At 42.5% G+C, this 19,284-nt stretch overlaps 1 protein-coding gene across 2 annotated transcripts; it reads right to left on the reverse strand.

The window, feature by feature from the left end:
• Nucleotides 1,762-11,413, reverse strand: CT45A5 (cancer/testis antigen family 45 member A5). 2 transcript variants are annotated; one of them, NM_001007551.6, is made up of 5 exons: nt 11,147-11,413; nt 7,471-7,645; nt 5,303-5,551; nt 4,828-4,921; nt 1,762-3,603 (listed from the first exon to the last, which is right to left on the reverse strand). In NM_001007551.6, the coding sequence occupies exons 2-5, from the start codon at nt 7,637-7,639 to the stop codon at nt 3,546-3,548; spliced, it is 570 nt and encodes a 189-aa protein (NP_001007552.2). In that variant the 5' UTR covers nt 7,640-7,645; nt 11,147-11,413; the 3' UTR covers nt 1,762-3,545. The 2 variants fall into 2 exon arrangements, with proteins under 2 accessions (NP_001007552.2, NP_001165759.2); NM_001172288.2 differs by having other exon boundaries at nt 3,040-3,603; nt 11,130-11,385.

The following is a 19,284-nucleotide window of genomic DNA, read 5'->3' on the forward strand; positions in this document are numbered from 1 at the left end:
ATGTTCTTCAACATCCTGAAATGGCTGGCTCAATAGAACATTGGAGGACCTTTTAAAGCCTGAGTTGTCATTGCAGCTTTGTGGCAGTGCCTTGTGGGGCTTGGCTGACAATCTAGAAAGTGGCAAAGCTGAATCCTAGCCTCAAGTATATGGAACTATTTCTCCCATAGCCACATTTATGACTTCAAGAATGAAGGAGGCAATATGTGGGCCTTCTCTCACTATTACTCCTGGGTATCTAGTAACAAAATGTTGCTTCTTATGCTCAAGAAGCAAACTGTGCACCAAGAAGCCAACTTTTGGCTCTGCTGGACTAGAGGACTTAGTTACACATTGAGGAATTTTTTCAACAGGGGAAACCAAAGTGATTCCACCAAAATGAAAGTTGTTCCGTATGAACTTTAAAGTAGTTTTTTCCAATTCTGTGAAGAAAGTCATTGGTAGCTTGATGGGGATGGCATTGAATCTATAAATTACCCTGGGCAATATGGCCATTTTCACGATATTGATTCTTCCTACCCATGAGCATGGAATGTTGTTCCATTTGTTTGTGTCCTCTTTTATTTCATTGAGCACTGGTTTGTAGTTCTCCTTGAAGAGGTCCTTCACGTCCCTTGTAAGTTGGATTCCTAGGTATTTTATTATCTTTGAAGCAATTGTGCATGGGAGTTCACTCATGATTTGGCTCTCTGTTTGTCTGTTACTGGTGTATAAGAATGCTTGTGATTTTTGCACACTGATTTTGGAACCAAAAAAGAGCCCGCATTGCCAAGTCAATCCTAAGCCAAAAGAACAAAGCTGGAGGCATCACGCTACCTGACTTCAAACTATACTACAAGTCTACAGTAACCAAAACAGCATGGTACTGTTATCAAAACAGAGATACAGACCAATGGAACAGAACAGAGCCCTCAGAAATAATGCTGCATATCTACAACTATCTGATCTTTGACAAACCTGACAAAAACAAGAAATGGGGAAAGGATTCCCTATTTAATAAATGGTGCTGGGAAAACTGGCTAGCCATATGGAGAAAGCTGAAATGGGATCCCTTCCTTACACTTTATACAAAAATTAATTCAAGATGGATTCAAGACTTACATGTTAGACCTAAAACCATAAAAACCCTAGAAGAAAACCTAGGCAATACCATTCAGGACATAGGCATGGGCAAGGACTTCATGTCTAAAACACCAAAAGCAATGGCAACAAAAGTCAAAATTGACAAATGGGATCTAATTAAACTAAAGAGTTTCTGCACGGCAAAAGAAACCACCATCAGAGTGAACAGGCAACCTACAGAATGGGAGGAAATTTTTGCAGTCTACTCATCTGACAAAGGGCTAATATCCAGAATCTACAACGAACTCAAACAAATTTACAAGAAAAAAACAAACAACCCCATCAACAAGCGGGCGAAGGATATGAACAGATACTTCTCAAAAGAAGACATTTATGCAGCCAACAGACACATGAAAACATGCTCATCATCACTGGCCATCAGATAAATGCAAATCAAAACCACAATGAGATACCATCTCACACCAGTTAGAATGGCAATCATTAAAAAGTCAGGAAACAACAGGTGCTGGAGAGGATGTGGACAAATAGGAACACTTTTACACTGTTGGTGGGACTGTAAACTAGTTCAACCATTGTGGAAGTCAGTGTGGCGATTCCTCAGGGATCTAGAACTAGAAATACCATTTGACCCAGCCATCCCATTACTGAGTATATACCCAAAGGATTATAAAACATGGTGCTATAAAGACACATGCACACGTATGTTTATTGTGGCACTATTCACAATAGCAAAGACTTGGAACCAACCCAAATGTCCAACAATGATAGACTGGATTAAGAAAACGTGGCACATATACACCATGGAATACTATGCAGCCATGAAAAATGATGAGTTCATGTCCTTTGTAGGGACATGGATGAAGCTGGAAACCATCATTCTCAGCAAACTATCGCAAGGACAAAAAACCAAACACCGCATGTTCTCCCTCATAGGTGGGAACTGAACAATGAGAACACATGGACACAGGAAGGGGAACATCACACACTGGGTCCTGTTGTGGGGTGTGGGGAGGGGGGAGGGATAGCATTAGGAGATATACCTAATGTTAAATGATGAGTTAATGGGTGCAGCACACAAAAATGGCACATGTATACATATGTAACAAACCTGCACGTTGTGCACATGTACCCTAAACCTTAAAGTATAATAAAAAAAAGTACCTGGCACAATTAATATTTGTTGAATAATTGAATGAATTAATTTTTTTAAAAAAAGCATAGAATGGGCTGGGTGCAGTGGCTCATGCCTGTAATCCTAGAACCTTGGGAGGCTGAGATGGGCAGATCACTTGAGGCCAGGTTTCGAGACCAGCCTGGACAACATGGCAAAACCCCATCTCCACTAAAAATACAAAAATTGCAGCGTGATGGCACCTGTGGTGCACCTGTAATCCCAGCTACTTCGAAGGCTGAAGCACAAGGATCGCTTGAACTGGGGTGAGGTCGAGGTGGCAGTGACTTGTGATCGTGTCACCGCACTCTAGCCTGGGCAACAGAGCAAGATTCTGTCTTTAAAAAAAATAAAAAGCATAGAACGTTCAAGTCGTATCTGGAAACAACAGCCTTACAGGGACTGCTACTGCAGCTCCAAATTATTGTATCAGACCAATCCTATCTAGGAACTACCTTTATTATATATATTGGATATACCCCCCCACACACGCATACATATATATATATGGGGGTGTATATATAATATGTGTAATGTGTATTATATGTATAATGGGAGATTAGAAAGTGTGTGTGTGCATGTATATATACCCCCTACCAACACACACACACACACACACACACACACACACACACACACACATTAAAATCTCCCATTAGTTCTGCCTTTTCGTTGAAGGCTGATGATACAGATTTCAACATTGAGATCGGGTTCCCACCACACGAGGGGCTAAGGAAGAGTATGTGTGATATGTCTAGAGAGCTTCTTAGTCCTCCTGTGTTTTTCGATTAGAGTTAATGGAAAATCACAGCAACCCCATCCAGGCAGGATATCTAATGGTTCAGACTCTTCCGTAATGAAGGTTTGAGTCATCCTGCCAGGCCAAGCATCATGACCAACTGACATGCTATCTCAGGGCAAAGGGAATGCGAAACGGGTAGCGAAAGAAGGTAGTTATAAACGCCAGCTACATCAGTGTGAGCTGCTGCAGAAACCACGACTGTAATAGTATTTACCTAATGGGTTAATAATATCTACCAGCACAGGTGGGAATACAAAATAACCAAAACACAAGTTATCCTTTCAAATAAAACGCTTTGGGAAAAAGAACATCTTTTACTAACAGAAATTTCTTAGCCTCTGGAAGGCCAGTTGATTCGGTAACATATGCCAGGAGACTTCAGCAATATCCTGCTCCATTGTAGAAAACAGCAATCTGATCCTTTTCTCTCCTCAATCATTAACGAGATTATGCATTTGGGGTGTGATAATCCTCCAGGGACAAGTATTCTCAAATCATACGTTTCAGTTTCTTCTTAAGGTGCTTAACAAAGTCTCGTCTCATACATCTGAAGAGAAAGAGACATGTCATTAACCAAAAGATAGCCAAAGAACCTATGCTGTAGGAAGCGCTGTGACAGATAGAAAGATGAAGTAACAGTCAGCATGGAAATAGAAATGTATCTGCATGGTAAGAGGCAGTCTAGCCGGCATAACAAATGCTGGCAAGGGTGTGGAGAAAAGGGAACCTTCATACACTGTTGGTGAGAATATAAATTACTACAACAACTAACTATGAAGAACAGTTTGGAGGTTCCTCAAACAACTAAAAATGGAGCTATCATATGATCCAGCAATCCCACTGCTGGGTATATACCCAAGAGAAAGGAAGTCAGTGTACCGAACAGATATCTGCACTCCCATGTTTGTTGCAGCACCATCCACAGTAGCCAAGATTTGGAAGCAACCTAAGTGTCCACTAACACATGAATGGGTAAAGAAAATATGGTACATATACACCACAGAGTACTGTTTAGCCATAAAAAAAAGAATGAGATTCAGTCATTTGCAACAACACGGATAGAACCGAAGGTCCTTATGTTAAGTGAAATAAGCCAGGCACAGAAAGACAAACTTCACATGTTCTCACTTATTTTTGGGAGTAAAAGTGTAAAACAACTGAACTAATGGAGATAGAGAGTAGAATGACAGTTACCAGAGGCTACAAAGGTTAGTGGGGGTGGAGGGTGTGGGAAGTGGGGATGATTAATACGTAGAAGTATGGAATAAATAAGATGTCGTATTTCATAGCCAAACAGGGTGACTATAGTCGGTAATAATTTAATTGCACATTTAAAAATAATGAAGAGTATAATTGTATTCTCTGTAACGCAAAGGATAAAAGCTTGAGGTGATAGAAACCCCACTTACCTTGATGTGATTATTACACATTGTTGTCTGTATCACAATATCTCATATAGCCCAGAAATATATGCATCTGCTATGTGCCTACACAAATTTTTTAAAAAGAGGTAGTCTAGCAAATACAAAGAGTGTCAATTGAGGGACAATGCGCACCTCAGACTATGGTGAAAATGGAAGTCTCCATAGTCTTCGAAGAATGAGTTACACTCAGATAACATTAGCCTAAGTAACTGTGGAGACAGCCATAACTGTGAGTGAGGACCAGGGTTTGAGAAACGCAAGGCAGGGGCTGTTCCCCAACGCTCACCCCCAGTGCTCTATTGAGCCCAAGTGCTTAAAGAAATTGGACAGTTCCTATTTCTACCCACCTTGCTGCTTCCTTGATGATGGATTCAAAAAATCGCTTCCTGACTGCAGTAGGTCCTTGCACTCCTTCAAGCATTTCGAAGATTTTTTCATATTCTGAAGATGTTGAAAAAAAAAAAACTTCAGTATTATCAAATATAAAGAAGAATAGAAGTGAATCTACACCTCAGCAATCATGCTTCAGAGGCTGAAATGTTTTAAATGCTTAAATCAAGATACCTGCACATACAAAACCTAAATAATAAAAAAGACACCTGCACATACATACGAATGTAACTCCTTTAACCATAACCAAGTAAGAAAAGAAAAAGAAAAAATGTACATGCTTTAGTCAAAGAAAAGAGGAACCACCATAAATTATGTGCAATCTCAACTCTGGCAAAGAATGAAACTCAACAGGCAACATGAATATCTTCTGAATCATAGAAAGAGAGACTTCCTATAGTTTTATAAAACAGACATTCTTATATTACTTACTTTGTCCAACGCATCGGAGTTCCTTCACTAATTTACGTTTTATATCAGCATTAATTTCTCGTTGGCTTTTGGGAGAGGAGGCTGTTTCTCTGCATTCTAGGTCATCTCCAGAGAAACTGCTGGTAACGTTTCCTCCCACAGGTGCATTGCTACCAGGTTTCTGCATCATCCCATCTTTGCTGAAACCAGTGAAGTCATCAATCTGAGAATCCAATTGGCTGGGTGGAATAGCATGTCCTGTCATAAGCTCTGGTGAAACAGATTTTGAGTAAAAGCCATCAGTTGGTGTTTGACCACTTTCTTTCCCCTCCACATAGACCTCATGAATGACAGCTCTGGAAATCAAACTGAGAAGCTGAGCTGTGAGATATGTGTGTTTCATCACCCCTCTGGGTACATCTATGTGCTCCTCAGTTTCTAGGGAATTATTTATTTCATAAATGGGAGGATACACCAGGGAGAAATCCCAGGCCTGACAAACGGAGGCCAGGACACATAATACAATAAAACCACCTCTTATTTTCTGGCCCTATGAATAGACATGGAAACCAAGTAAGGCAGTACAACTCTAAAGCAACATTCACAGATCCCTGGTACTCATGGGACAGTTTCAGCTTGTTATGCTTTACAAGTTGAAAGCAGCAAGTCTCACTTGATATCATGATTTCTCAAATTCACTTACAAACTGCCATGCTTTACTGAGCTGGAACCCAGGCAACTGGGATACAACTCAACCGGTCTCCTGTTATATCAAACACATTCTGAGAAAATAGAGGCGGCCATTACTGCTAAAAGTTCTATACGCACTCCACCACCAAAAAGTCCCTTTTACTGTATGATTTTCCTCATCCTTCCTTTCTTTCTCACAAAAGTGACTTTCTTTTCACTCCAGGTCTGACACCTCTCATTTATTCATCGTCTGTGGCAGGCAGCGTGCCGGTAGCTGGGGATCAGCAGTAAACAGCCCAGAGAGCAACGTTCCCTGCCCTTGTGGAGCTCACATCCTCATGGGGCGGTCAGACAGTACGTGCACAATGAGCAAATGAAACATACAGTGTTGGGCTAGTGGTAAGGAAGCAGTCCACAGGCCTGTGGGCAACAGCAGCAGAGGGAGCCCCAGGAGCTGCTGCTGGTTGGGCAGAGCCTTCTGTGGAGGTACCCTTGGGCAGGGCTTGAAGGAAAAAGCAGAGCTGCCTGCGCAGAGGCAGAGGGGGAGTTCCAGGTTGCGGTGAGGCCAAGGATATGGGCTGGAGTGGGGATGGACCGGGCACTATGGGGTGAAGGACAGTAGCAGAGAGAGTCAGGAGATGATGGGGCCCGTGTGAGGAGAGGGTGACGGAGGCCAGGCCACGCAGAACCTCGCAGACCAAAGCTGCTTCGCAGTCGGTTCTGAGTGCTTAGGAGTGTTGAGGATGGGTGTTCAGGAGCGACATGGCATCACGTGATTTACATGCCAACATCATGACCCGGCTGCAGGGTTGGAGGGTATGTGTTTGATGCGGGAAATAATGGGAAACATGGAGGTATCTCAGGAGCTCAGTGATTGATCGTGGCAGAGTGGAATAGAAGGAGAGAGAGAGATGCTGGGGTTCAGGAATTTTTTACAGTATTTAGAGAAGAGAAGAAAAAGAAATGTAGAAAAAAACAATGATGGGGTCGGGGGCGGTGGCTCGTGCGTGTAATCCCAGCACTTTGGGAGGCTGAGGTGGGTGGATCACCTGAGGGGGGGAGTTCCAGACCAGCCTGGCCGACATGGCGAAACCCCATCTCTACTAAACTTACAAAAATTAGCTGGGTGTGGTGGCTGGTGCTTGTAATCCCGCTACTCGGGAGGCTGCGGCAGAAGAATCACTTGAACCCAGGAGACGGAGATTTCAGTGAGCCGAGATCGCGCCACTGCACTCCAGCCTGGCTGAGAAGAGCGAAACTCCATCTCAAGAAAAAAATGATAGGGATTCACCAATACGGACAAGAAATTAAAAAAAAAAAAAAGATTGTCGGAAATGGAAATCCTAGAAGGTTTTCATGAAGAAGCGAGTGAACAACTGTCAAATGCTGCTGAGAAGTTAATGGCAATGTCAGCCGAAACTGTTAACCTTGACAAGGACAGTTTCTCTGGAGGGGATGAGGCAGGAGCATGAGGAGGACGTGAGGACAGGCTTACTTACTCTTTTCTTTGGACATGGCAGAGCCTGCAATAAGGCTGTCTCCTGCTCCTTGTTTCCTTGCCAACAGGGCCATCCTCTGCCTTTTCTGATACGAAGGACTGTCACATTCCCTGGGACGTTTAAACACAGTTTCAGGATCTACAGCCACCTTCTCTGTTTTATCGGTCATTGTTTCCTGAAAAACATCAATGAATATATTCTATTCATGACAAAAATCTAACAATCACAAAATGGCAAGCAATCTGCATATGTGTATACAACCAAGACTTTGAATCATTAATTTCACTTTTAATCATGAGCCAAGATTTACCAAGTCTCAACAAACACTCTGTTCTCAGGAAAAGAAACCTAATTTTAATGTACACAAAGTAAAACAGAAGAAAGATGGTATAACCAAATCAATCAGAATGCTTGTGGAATAAGCAGCTGTCATCAACCAAAAATAGATAAAAATATTATTACCTATTTGAAGATGTATAAGCCAATCTGTATTAACCCTTATTAGAAAAAATGGATGTATAAACCAATCTGTATTAACCCTTATTATACATTATATTTTAAATTATATATTATATATCATATATATTTAATATATAAGTATTTATGCTTATATATTCAAATAGATGCATAAACCAACGTGTATTAACCCTTATTAGGAACCCTTATTAGAAGATTGATACAAAACTGATAACAACATCTGACAAGGAATTTAGAAGAATGAAAAACTACAAGATCAAGCCAAAAATACAAGCCAAGATCACCCCGAACTTAGACACAAAAATTCCAAACTAAGGGTGAGCAAATAAAATGTACTAGTACTTAAAAAGGACATACATCAGCCATGGTGGAGTATATTGCAGAAAGGCAACACTGATTTAACATTTGAAAATCGACAAATGTAGTGCACCACATTAACAACAACAACAACAACAACAACAAAAACAGGGAAACACCGCATGATCATTTTCATACATGGATCAATGTTTAAAGTCCATTCGTGATAAAAACTATCACCAACTTAGGAAAAAGGGCAACTTTCCTATTCTGGTTAGCATATGTACAAAAAATTTTTAAATGCCATACTTCATAGTGACGTATCAGTATTTTCTCCCTGAGTTTGAAAACAAGACAAAGATGTCCACTATCCATTCAACAATTTACTGGAGGTTCCAAAAAGTGCCATATCATCAGGAAAATACAATAGGTTTAAAATTTGGAAAGAAATAAAACTGTCATTATTCACAGATGACATTGTTCTGTACATAGAAAAATGCAGAAGAATAAAATCATTACAGTTAATAAGCAAATTTAGTCAACTTACTAGATACAATGAAAACCAATGGCATTTCTGTATAATGAATAGCAATTCTGTATAATGAATGGCATTATACAGAATGGCAATTCTGTATAACGAATAATTAGAATATGAGATTTCAAATGTCATTAAAAACAGTTCCAAAAACATCAAATATTTAGGAATAAATCTAATCAAGATGTGCTAGAGTACTTCACAAAAATTATAAAACATCACTCAGAGAAATTCAAGACTGCAGTAAATGGAGAAAAATTTTCTTTCCATGCATTGGAAGACATTTTTTTTTTTTTTTGAGTCGGAGCCTCGCTCTGTCACCCAGGCTGCAGTGGAGTGGCACAGTCTCTGCTCACTGCAACCTCCACTTCCCAGGTTCAAGCAATTCTCCTGCCTCAGCCTCCTGAGTAGCTGCGATTACGGGCGCCTGCCACGACGCTGGATAAAGAAAATGTGGTACATATACACCACGGAATACTATGCAGCCATAAAAAAGAATGAGTTCATGTCCTTTGAAGGGACATGTGTCAGCAAGCTAACACAGGAACAGAAAACCAAACACCACGTGTCCTCACTCATAAGTGGGAGTTGAACAATGAGAACACATGGACGCGGGGAGAAGAACATCACACAGTGGGGCCTGTCAGGGGTTGGGGGGCTAGGGGAGGGATAGCATTAGAGAAATACCTAAGGTAGATGACGGGTCAATGGGTGCAGCAAACAACCATGGCATGTGTCTTCCTATGTAACAAACCTGCACGTTCTGCCCATGTATCCCGGAACTTAAAGTATAATTTTAAGAAAAGGAATATTATCGTAATGGCATTGGGTGAGTCAAAGATGTTTCTTAAAATAATAAAAAGCACTATCCATAAATAATACACTAATTAATAAAATTAAGAGAATCTGTTCATCTACAACACATTATTGAGATCGTGTAAAAGCAAAAAAGATTTATAGAAGATACTAAAATTGTATATGTATTTTTGTATATGTACATATACGCCTGTGTGCCTGTGCGTATAACTCAAATACAGAATATATGGAAACTACAAATCCATTTTTAAAATACAAACATCTCAGTAAAAGCTGGGGGAAAATACCTGAAAAGGAACTTCATAAAAGGCATAGTTAAATGACCAATAAACACATAAAATGGTGCTAAAAAAAAAAAAAAAAGAAAACAATAAATAGCTGGGTGTGGTGGCACTGCAATCCAGTCTGGGTGACAGAGGGAGACCTCATCTCAAAAGACAAACAAAAATCAATAAATAAAAACAATTTCTTAAAAAGGTGCTCGATCTCATTAATCAGCAGAGAAATGCGAGTGTAGACACAAGGAGAGATCACTGCACACCCATCAGAGTGGCTGGAATGAAAGACTAACTGTACTGCGAGTGTTCGAATGTGGCACAGCTGGAACCTTCGAATATTTCTGGACTCCCATTCCCACACAGACACCTGAGGCTGTGGCTGAAAGGTCAGATAGAATCCCAGGAAAGAGCTCCTTCAGAATTGCGATCAACCAACCGAGGAAAAGCACCCCAACCTGGGTCGAGACAGAGTTCCCAAGGTCACGTGGCCTCCTTCATGGCTGACACAGAGCTCCCTGAGTCCCACCATAGGCTTAGAGAATCCAAGGAACATTACCCCACTCCCCGGCGGCACCGGGAGAGAGCACCTACAGATAATAATTTTAAAAACCCAGCACCAAGAGAAAGCATCCAGTAAGCGTCCACAACGGGGATAAGCAGAACCAAAGAAAAGCCAACACATTGTAACTGAGAGCGAGCAACATCCGAGGACAAATGCGCCTCACGGCCGACATCAGTACCCAAGGAAGAGTCCACCAGAGGTTGAGATAAAGCCCCCGACAGTGACCCCACAGGGCTACGATCATGTGTCCGGGGCACAGCCACCCCCACCACGTTCCATGAGCACAGATAGTGACCCCAGGGCAGAGTCCCCCCTCAGGACAGCGACTGAGCGGGAAAGAAACACCGCCGCACCCGAGGCCGACACAGGCAACCAAGGCATGGCCCCCACCCCCCGGGCTCAGGTCATTTCAGCAGGAAAAGTCGCCTTTTCCATCACCGACAGGGAGCCCCCAACAAGAGCCCCCAAGAAAAGCCCCCTGGCCCCACAACATAGCCGAGACGGGGTGCCCAAGGAAAACGCTCCCCCGCGGCTGACACAGGCGCCCATGGCGGTGTCCCCAGAGCTAAGCCACTTCCCCAAGGGAGCCCTCCCACACACCGGACAGAGAACACCACAGAAAAGACTCTTTCTGAGGAAAAAGGACACTTTCCAGGGCGAAATTAAAGCATCCAGGGAAAAACTGCCCACTCACAGTCCTGAAGTCCTGACCTTGCTGGAGGAGAGACGGCGGCACCTCACAAAATGGCAGTGAAGTTGTGGCGCCTCCCCACTGGTGGCACTTTCTAGAAACCTGCCCTCTGGGAGTTGTGGGAAATGTGCCCCCTAGGGCACCTGGGAGTGATGTGCATGGGGAGGCGTCTCACCAGAAGCACCGATCCCGTTTGGCCCAAGGGGGATGGGAGGAAGGGAAGTAGCCAGCCACAGCGTGCCTGCCCCAGCCGAACACTGGGAACCTGTTGGGGGCGCCAGAGTGCTGAGGAGAAGCCTCGTGCCCCAGAGAACCAGGAAGCGCAGCCCTCCCCTTCGCTGACTCTGGCGCCCTCTACAGGCGACCTTCAGTAACAACTGCACAGCAACGTATGCGGAGGAATGCAGAACCTTCTCACCCAGCGGGATGAAATCGCCTGGGTAACATAGTGAGACCCCGGCTCTACAAAGCAACCAACTAATCAAAAAAGAAAGAAAGAAAGAAAGAAACACACAAATTAGCTGGGCCTAGTGGCCTCGCACCTGTGGTCCCAACTACTCGGGAAGTTGAGGTGGGAGGATGGCTTGAACCCGGGAGGTGGAGGTAGCAGTGAGCCACTGCACTCCAGCCCAGGCGGTAGAGGAGACCCCATCTCAGAAAAAAAAAAAAAAAGAAAGAAAGAAGGAAAAGAAAAGAAAAAGAAAAAGAACAACAACAAACTGCAATTTTCATTTGAGGGGGTTGTGTTTTAAAGTCAACCCCGACCCGCCACAGTGGCTCACGCCTGTAATCTCAACACTTTGGGAGGCCGAAGGGGCTGGACCACCTGAGGTCAGGAGTTCGAGACCAGTCTGTCTGACCAACATGGTGAATCCCGTCTCTGCTAAAAATACAGAAAATTACCGGGCGTGGTGGCATGCACCTATAATCCCACCAGCTACTTGGGAGGCTGAGGCTGGAGAATCGCTTGAACCGGGCAGGCAGAATTTGCAGTGAGCTGAGATCATGCCACTGCACTCCAGCCTGGGTAACAGAGTGAGACTCTGTCTAAAAATAAAAATCAATCAATCAATAAATAAAGTCAACCTCTATCTGTTAAAGGTAACCATTATTGTTAATTGATAAGAAAAATGAGGGCCCCAGTGCGGTCGCTCACGTCTGTAATCCCAGCAATTTGGGAGACCAAGAGGGGTGGATTCCTTGAGCCCAGGAGTTCAAGAGCAGCCTGGGCAGCATGGTGAAACCCCATCTTAACACAAAATACAAAAATTAGCTGAGCGTGTAACTGTGGTCCCAGCTGCTCGGGAGGCTTGACACCAGGAGGTTGAGGCTGCATTGACCTTTGTTCGCACCATTGCACTATAGCCTGGGTGACAGAGTAAGACTGTCTACAAAAAAAAAGAAAGAGAGAAAGAAAGAGAGAAAGAAAGAAAGAAAGAGAAAGAAAAAAGAAGGAAGGAAGGAAAGAAAGAACGAAAGAAAGAAAGGAAGGAAGAAAGGAAGGATGGAAGAAAGAAGGGAAGAAAGGAAGAAAGGAAGGATGGAAGAAAGAAGGGAAGAAAGGAAGAAAGAAAGAGAGAAAGAAAGAAAGGATGGAAGGAGGGGAAACCTTATTATATTGCATCTATTAATCATTTTAATCTGGAACTTTGTATATTTTTCCACCTTTTTTATTTTTTTTGAGACAGTCTGGCTCTGTCACCCAGGCTGGAGTGCAGTGGCATGATCTTGGCTCACTGCAACCTCCGCCTCCCAGGTTCAAGCAGTTCTCCTTCCTCAGCCTCCCGAGAAGCTGGGATTACAGGCATGTACCACCATGCCCGGCTGGTATTTGTATTTTTAGCAGAGACGGTGTTTCACAATGTTCTCCAGGCTGGTCTCAAACTCCTGACTTTAAGTGATTCATCTGCCTTGGCCTCCCAAAGTCCTGGGATTACAGGGGAGAGCCACCATGCCCGGCCCATTTTTCTACTTTCACAACTTATTTTAAGTGCAGCAAAATTTACTTGAATTGTCCATAGTGGTAAAAAATATTACAGCGAAATTTTTCGAGTTTTAATGGAACAGGCAGTTTCACTATTGACACAATTATTTGGAAGGGATTACTTCACTGGTTTTGTAATTCAAAAGTTATGTTTGTAAAAAACTTAAAATTAAAATTAAAAAATATAGCCAGGCATGGTGGTGGGCACCTGTACTCCCTGCTACTAGGGCAGCAGAGGCAGGAGAATCACTTGAACCTGAGAGGTGCAAGCTTCAGTGAGCAGAGATCGCGTCACTGCACTCCAAAGGGGCAGAGATCCATTGTCACTGGGGGACAAAGGGAGAGTCCGTCTCAAAATAAATTAATTAATTAAAATTAAAATTAAAAATTATGTTTGTTAAGTACCCTGTTAGAAGAGAGTCATATTCAGTATTACAGCTTCTTAGCCTATTGTGTTAATATTTGCCTGTGCTTCAGAACCTTCATAGAACACATTTTCTTTTGGAATATATTTGATTGATAGGAAAGCTTAAACATTGTTTTCACTTTGATGTAGGAACAGTTGTTTTGTTTGTTTCCTCTAGTGCTATCAAAATAAAATACTCATTTTTTGCATTAAAAAAATCCCACCAGAGCAGTACTCATAGGAGTATTTGATTGAATAACCATGAGACTGGAATCTTGTTGGGGCTTAATTAGAATCCTGCCTACCACACAAGCCACAGGTGGACAGCTGCATACGACAGTCCTGACTGGGACAGCCCTGAAGGACAGTGATGAAGGGAAATCCTCCCAGAGGGAAGAACTTTGAGCAGTGCACCTTCTTGGAGGAGGCATATCCAGACGTGTAAGTATGTATCATGCATAGGCTGTGTCCCACTCATTCGCTGAATTGTCAGGGACTTTGAGAACACACGATTAAAAATGTGCGACAAAGAAGTCTGAGAAAAAAAAAATATGTGGACAGGCCTGTCCAAACGGACATACAATGTGAAGATATTGGGGTCTCATGAGAGTTCTCAGCAAAGGGTATCCTCAGCAGAGCAGAATTTTAATAATCAGATGGATAAGGTACTTATTATCTAGGTATTAATCAGCCTCTTTCCCTAACACGTGTGTCACAATCTTACCGGCTCAACAAACAAAGTGGTCAAACTGGCAGGGTTGGAGATTATGCGCAGTAGCATGGACCTCCACTCACCATGGCAAACCTGGCTACGGTCATTGCTGAGTGAAAAATCTTCCAGGAATGGAGACCAACACTAAGCCCCCAATTTGGCACCAGACTCCAGAATGATCTGCCAGCCACTAGTTGGTATGTGGATTACAATAGATCACTTCTATTATAAAAAGAGAAGTGCTTTCTTCTTACCTGAACAGACATTTAGTCTAGATATGGATTTTCCTTCCCACTTGCAGTGCTTTTGAGAAAACCAATGTTTGTATCTCAGCTTCCAAAATTCTGGAAAGCGCTAGTTCCTCAAGTTCCTAGGGTTATTCATTCTGGAGACTCTAGTATACTCTGCAAGAAAACCTGTAGGCCATCCACCAAAATGCCCAAATGGAGTCACTCTTAAATAACGAGCCCTGCATGTTTCCAGAAACTCTAATTATCAGTGAAAAGTTTACTATGGCAGCGATTTCGCCACCCAGGGCAATTGGAGAATGGCAGATACTAGGGACCATTAACTCTGTGAAAGCTGTAGAAGACTGCAGTCAAGACAGTTACAGAACCAAAAGTGACAGTCTTCTATTTCCGATGTTTGTACAAAGAGGACATACAATTAATAAAGTGGTCGAGGAACAGGTTTCTGCTTTAATACCAAAAACTAACATAGAAACCTGTAAAGGTGTCCAAGTATAGTAATCCTTTTCCTGTGTATTTGGTTAAGATTTAAAACTGAAGCTTTCTTTGTTAGCTTTTTTAAAATTATAGATGCCAGAAGGGTACATGTACAGATTTCTCGCTTGGATATAATTGCACAGTGCCGGGGTTTGGGCTTCTAGTGAACTCATCACCCAAATAGTGAAGAGAGTATCCAATAGGTAGTTTTTCAACCCTCCGACCCGCTCCCTCCCTCCCCTCTACCTCCATTTTGGAGTCCCCAGAGTCAATGGTTTCTACCTTTATTTTCATGTGTACCCATTGTTTAGCTCCCACATATGAATGAGAACACGCAGTATCTCATTTTCTGATTATCAGATTTTGCTTCTGCGTTTCACTTAAAAGTGAAGTTTTCACCGGACACAGTGGCTCACGCCTGTAATCCCAGGATTTGGGAGGCAGAAGCGGGTGGATCACTTGAGGTCAGGAGTTCCAGACGAGGCTGGCCAAAGTGGCGAAACCACATCTCTACCAAAAATACAAAAAATAGCTGGGGCCCTGCGCAGTGGCTCGCACTTGCACTTTGGGAGTCTGAGGTGGGCATATCACTTGAGGTCAGGAGTTTGAGACTAGCCTGGCCAACATGGTGAAACTCTGTCTCTACTAAGAAATACAAACAATTAGCCAGGTGTGATAATGCGTTTCTATAGTCCCAGCTACACAAGGAGGCTGAGGCAAGAGAACTGCTTGAACCCGGGAGGTGGAGGTTGCAGTGAGCCGAGATTGCACCATAAACTTAATCAAATTGTTGTTCCAACTGCAGCTGCTGTACTACAAGTGGTTTTGTTGTGTCAGCAACTGTGACATCCCTCGGAACCTGATATACAATACTGATTAGGTGAATGTTTGGCTTTCTTTCAGTAATTGTCGTAAACAAGAATTTCAATTCAGCTAGAAAGGACAGCAATGTACTATCATTTCCTATTTCAAGCTTATATCAACTCTCTAGGTTTATATCCTAAACGAGTTCTTAGGGAAAATGGCCACCTTTCTCTTAAACCAGATGTGACACCATTCTTTGCAGTGATGACATCATGCTGACTGAAAAGGAGGTAGCAACTAATCCAGACATGGTAGCAACACACTTGCAAGACATTATGTGAGAAATAATTCTCACACAAAATCAGGGGCCTTCTAACTGAGTGAAGCGTTTAACAATCTGGTAGTCTGGCATGTCAAGATGGTGGTTATAAGGTGAACAGCAAGTTCTTACATCTTGCCTTTCTTACTACTAAATAAGGAACATGAAACGAGTTGCATAATAGATGCTTGTTTTAGCATATACCTAAATGTTGTGCAGTACCGTGGACCCATTGACAAGTGACTGAAACCCCGCTAGCATGGACCGGGGCCCAGAAAAAGAGAAGCTTCCCTAATCCTGCACCTGTGATCTCATGTGGAGTTCCCTGAGACCAGTTGACTAGAAAATAAAAAACTTCATGCCTGATTTTCATTTGTTACTTCAGAATATGCAGGCACCACATCTATTAGGTTTGTTACTAATGCAAAAGAAATTGTCCCCGATTCAGCAGCTTAAAATAACACAAATATATAAGCAGTTCTGTAGATCAGAAATCCATGCAGCCTGGATTGGTTTCTCTGCTTAGGATCTCACAAAATCAAAGTTAGGGTATCAACCAGGCTGCTGACTAACTAAGGACTCAGAGAGAACCTGTTTTCAAGCACATTTGGGTTACGGGCAGGTCTAACTTCTTAAAGTTGTGGAACTGAGGTAGCCGTATACTTGCGGTCTTGGCTGAGGCCACTCTAAGCTACCTGAGACCCCTCCATACCTACTTGGGTGCACCCCTCTATCTTCTAAGCAGTAATGGTGCATCATGATTATGGTGGCTGAGATAAAGCTTATTTACGGGTTTGGCAACATGAACTTTCATTTACCAGGTCCATCTCACTACAGCCACTGCTCACTATTCAATCTGACAGCAGCAGAGACCAACACTGAGTCCCCAATATGGCACCATGTCCCAGAGTGGTCAGTCAGCTTCCAGGTAGCACTGTGATTACTTGGGTCTGCTTCCACGATTGAAGGGGTATCACTTTGATCTTCCTCAAATAGACACTTATTCTGCATATGGATTTTCATTCCCACCCATGGAACTTCAAGGAAATCGGTACTGTGGTATGAGGAAAGGCTGTATCCACCGTCGTGGTATTCCACACTGCACCAGTTTTAAACATCAAACTCACTTTACAGGCAATGAAGTATGGGAATGGGCTCATGCTAATGTACTTCACTAGTCTTGTGATGTTCTTCAACATCCTGAAATGGCTGGCTCAATAGAACATTGGAGGACCTTTTAAAGCCTGAGTTGTCATTGCAGCTTTGTGGCAGTGCCTTGTGGGGCTTGGCTGACAATCTAGAAAGTGGCAAAGCTGAATCCTAGCCTCAAGTATATGGAACTATTTCTCCCATAGCCACATTTATGACTTCAAGAATGAAGGAGGCAATATGTGGGCCTTCTCTCACTATTACTCCTGGGTATCTAGTAACAAAATGTTGCTTCTTATGCTCAAGAAGCAAACTGTGCACCAAGAAGCCAACTTTTGGCTCTGCTGGACTAGAGGACTTAGTTACACATTGAGGAATTTTTTCAACAGGGGAAACCAAAGTGATTCCACCAAAATGAAAGTTGTTCCGTATGAACTTTAAAGTAGTTTTTTCCAATTCTGTGAAGAAAGTCATTGGTAGCTTGATGGGGATGGCATTGAATCTATAAATTACCCTGGGCAATATGGCCATTTTCACGATATTGATTCTTCCTACCCATGAGCATGGAATGTTGTTCCATTTGTTTGTGTCCTCTTTTATTTCATTGAGCACTGGTTTGTAGTTCTCCTTGAAGAGGTCCTTCACGTCCCTTGTAAGTTGGATTCCTAGGTATTTTATTATCTTTGAAGCAATTGTGCATGGGAGTTCACTCATGATTTGGCTCTCTGTTTGTCTGTTACTGGTGTATAAGAATGCTTGTGATTTTTGCACACTGATTTTGGAACCAAAAAAGAGCCCGCATTGCCAAGTCAATCCTAAGCCAAAAGAACAAAGCTGGAGGCATCACGCTACCTGACTTCAAACTATACTACAAGTCTACAGTAACCAAAACAGCATGGTACTGTTATCAAAACAGAGATACAGACCAATGGAACAGAACAGAGCCCTCAGAAATAATGCTGCATATCTACAACTATCTGATCTTTGACAAACCTGACAAAAACAAGAAATGGGGAAAGGATTCCCTATTTAATAAATGGTGCTGGGAAAACTGGCTAGCCATATGGAGAAAGCTGAAATGGGATCCCTTCCTTACACTTTATACAAAAATTAATTCAAGATGGATTCAAGACTTACATGTTAGACCTAAAACCATAAAAACCCTAGAAGAAAACCTAGGCAATACCATTCAGGACATAGGCATGGGCAAGGACTTCATGTCTAAAACACCAAAAGCAATGGCAACAAAAGTCAAAATTGACAAATGGGATCTAATTAAACTAAAGAGTTTCTGCACGGCAAAAGAAACCACCATCAGAGTGAACAGGCAACCTACAGAATGGGAGGAAATTTTTGCAGTCTACTCATCTGACAAAGGGCTAATATCCAGAATCTACAACGAACTCAAACAAATTTACAAGAAAAAAAACAAACAACCCCATCAACAAGCGGGCGAAGGATATGAACAGATACTTCTCAAAAGAAGACATTTATGCAGCCAACAGACACATGAAAACATGCTCATCATCACTGGCCATCAGATAAATGCAAATCAAAACCACAATGAGATACCATCTCACACCAGTTAGAATGGCAATCATTAAAAAGTCAGGAAACAACAGGTGCTGGAGAGGATGTGGACAAATAGGAACACTTTTACACTGTTGGTGGGACTGTAAACTAGTTCAACCATTGTGGAAGTCAGTGTGGCGATTCCTCAGGGATCTAGAACTAGAAATACCATTTGACCCAGCCATCCCATTACTGAGTATATACCCAAAGGATTATAAAACATGGTGCTATAAAGACACATGCACACGTATGTTTATTGTGGCACTATTCACAATAGCAAAGACTTGGAACCAACCCAAATGTCCAACAATGATAGACTGGATTAAGAAAACGTGGCACATATACACCATGGAATACTATGCAGCCATGAAAAATGATGAGTTCATGTCCTTTGTAGGGACATGGATGAAGCTGGAAACCATCATTCTCAGCAAACTATCGCAAGGACAAAAAACCAAACACCGCATGTTCTCCCTCATAGGTGGGA

This window comes from Homo sapiens, chromosome X (assembly GCF_000001405.40).
Source record: "Homo sapiens chromosome X, GRCh38.p14 Primary Assembly".
Taxonomy (NCBI): Eukaryota; Metazoa; Chordata; class Mammalia; order Primates; family Hominidae; genus Homo; species Homo sapiens.

What these genes read in the sequence shown, in the direction of transcription:
- CT45A5 (NM_001007551.6), bottom strand. Translation starts at nt 7,639, where the DNA reads ATGACCGATAAAACAGAGAAGGTGGCTGTAGATCCTGAAACTGTGTTT. An exon ending in ACTCCGATGCGTTGGACAAA is followed by an intron (nt 4,922 to 5,302) that starts GTAAGTAATATA and finishes CAACATCTTCAG; the next exon opens with AATATGAAAAAATCTTCGAA. An exon ending in ATCATCAAGGAAGCAGCAAG is followed by an intron (nt 3,604 to 4,827) that starts GTGGGTAGAAAT and finishes CTTTCTCTTCAG; the next exon opens with ATGTATGAGACGAGACTTTG.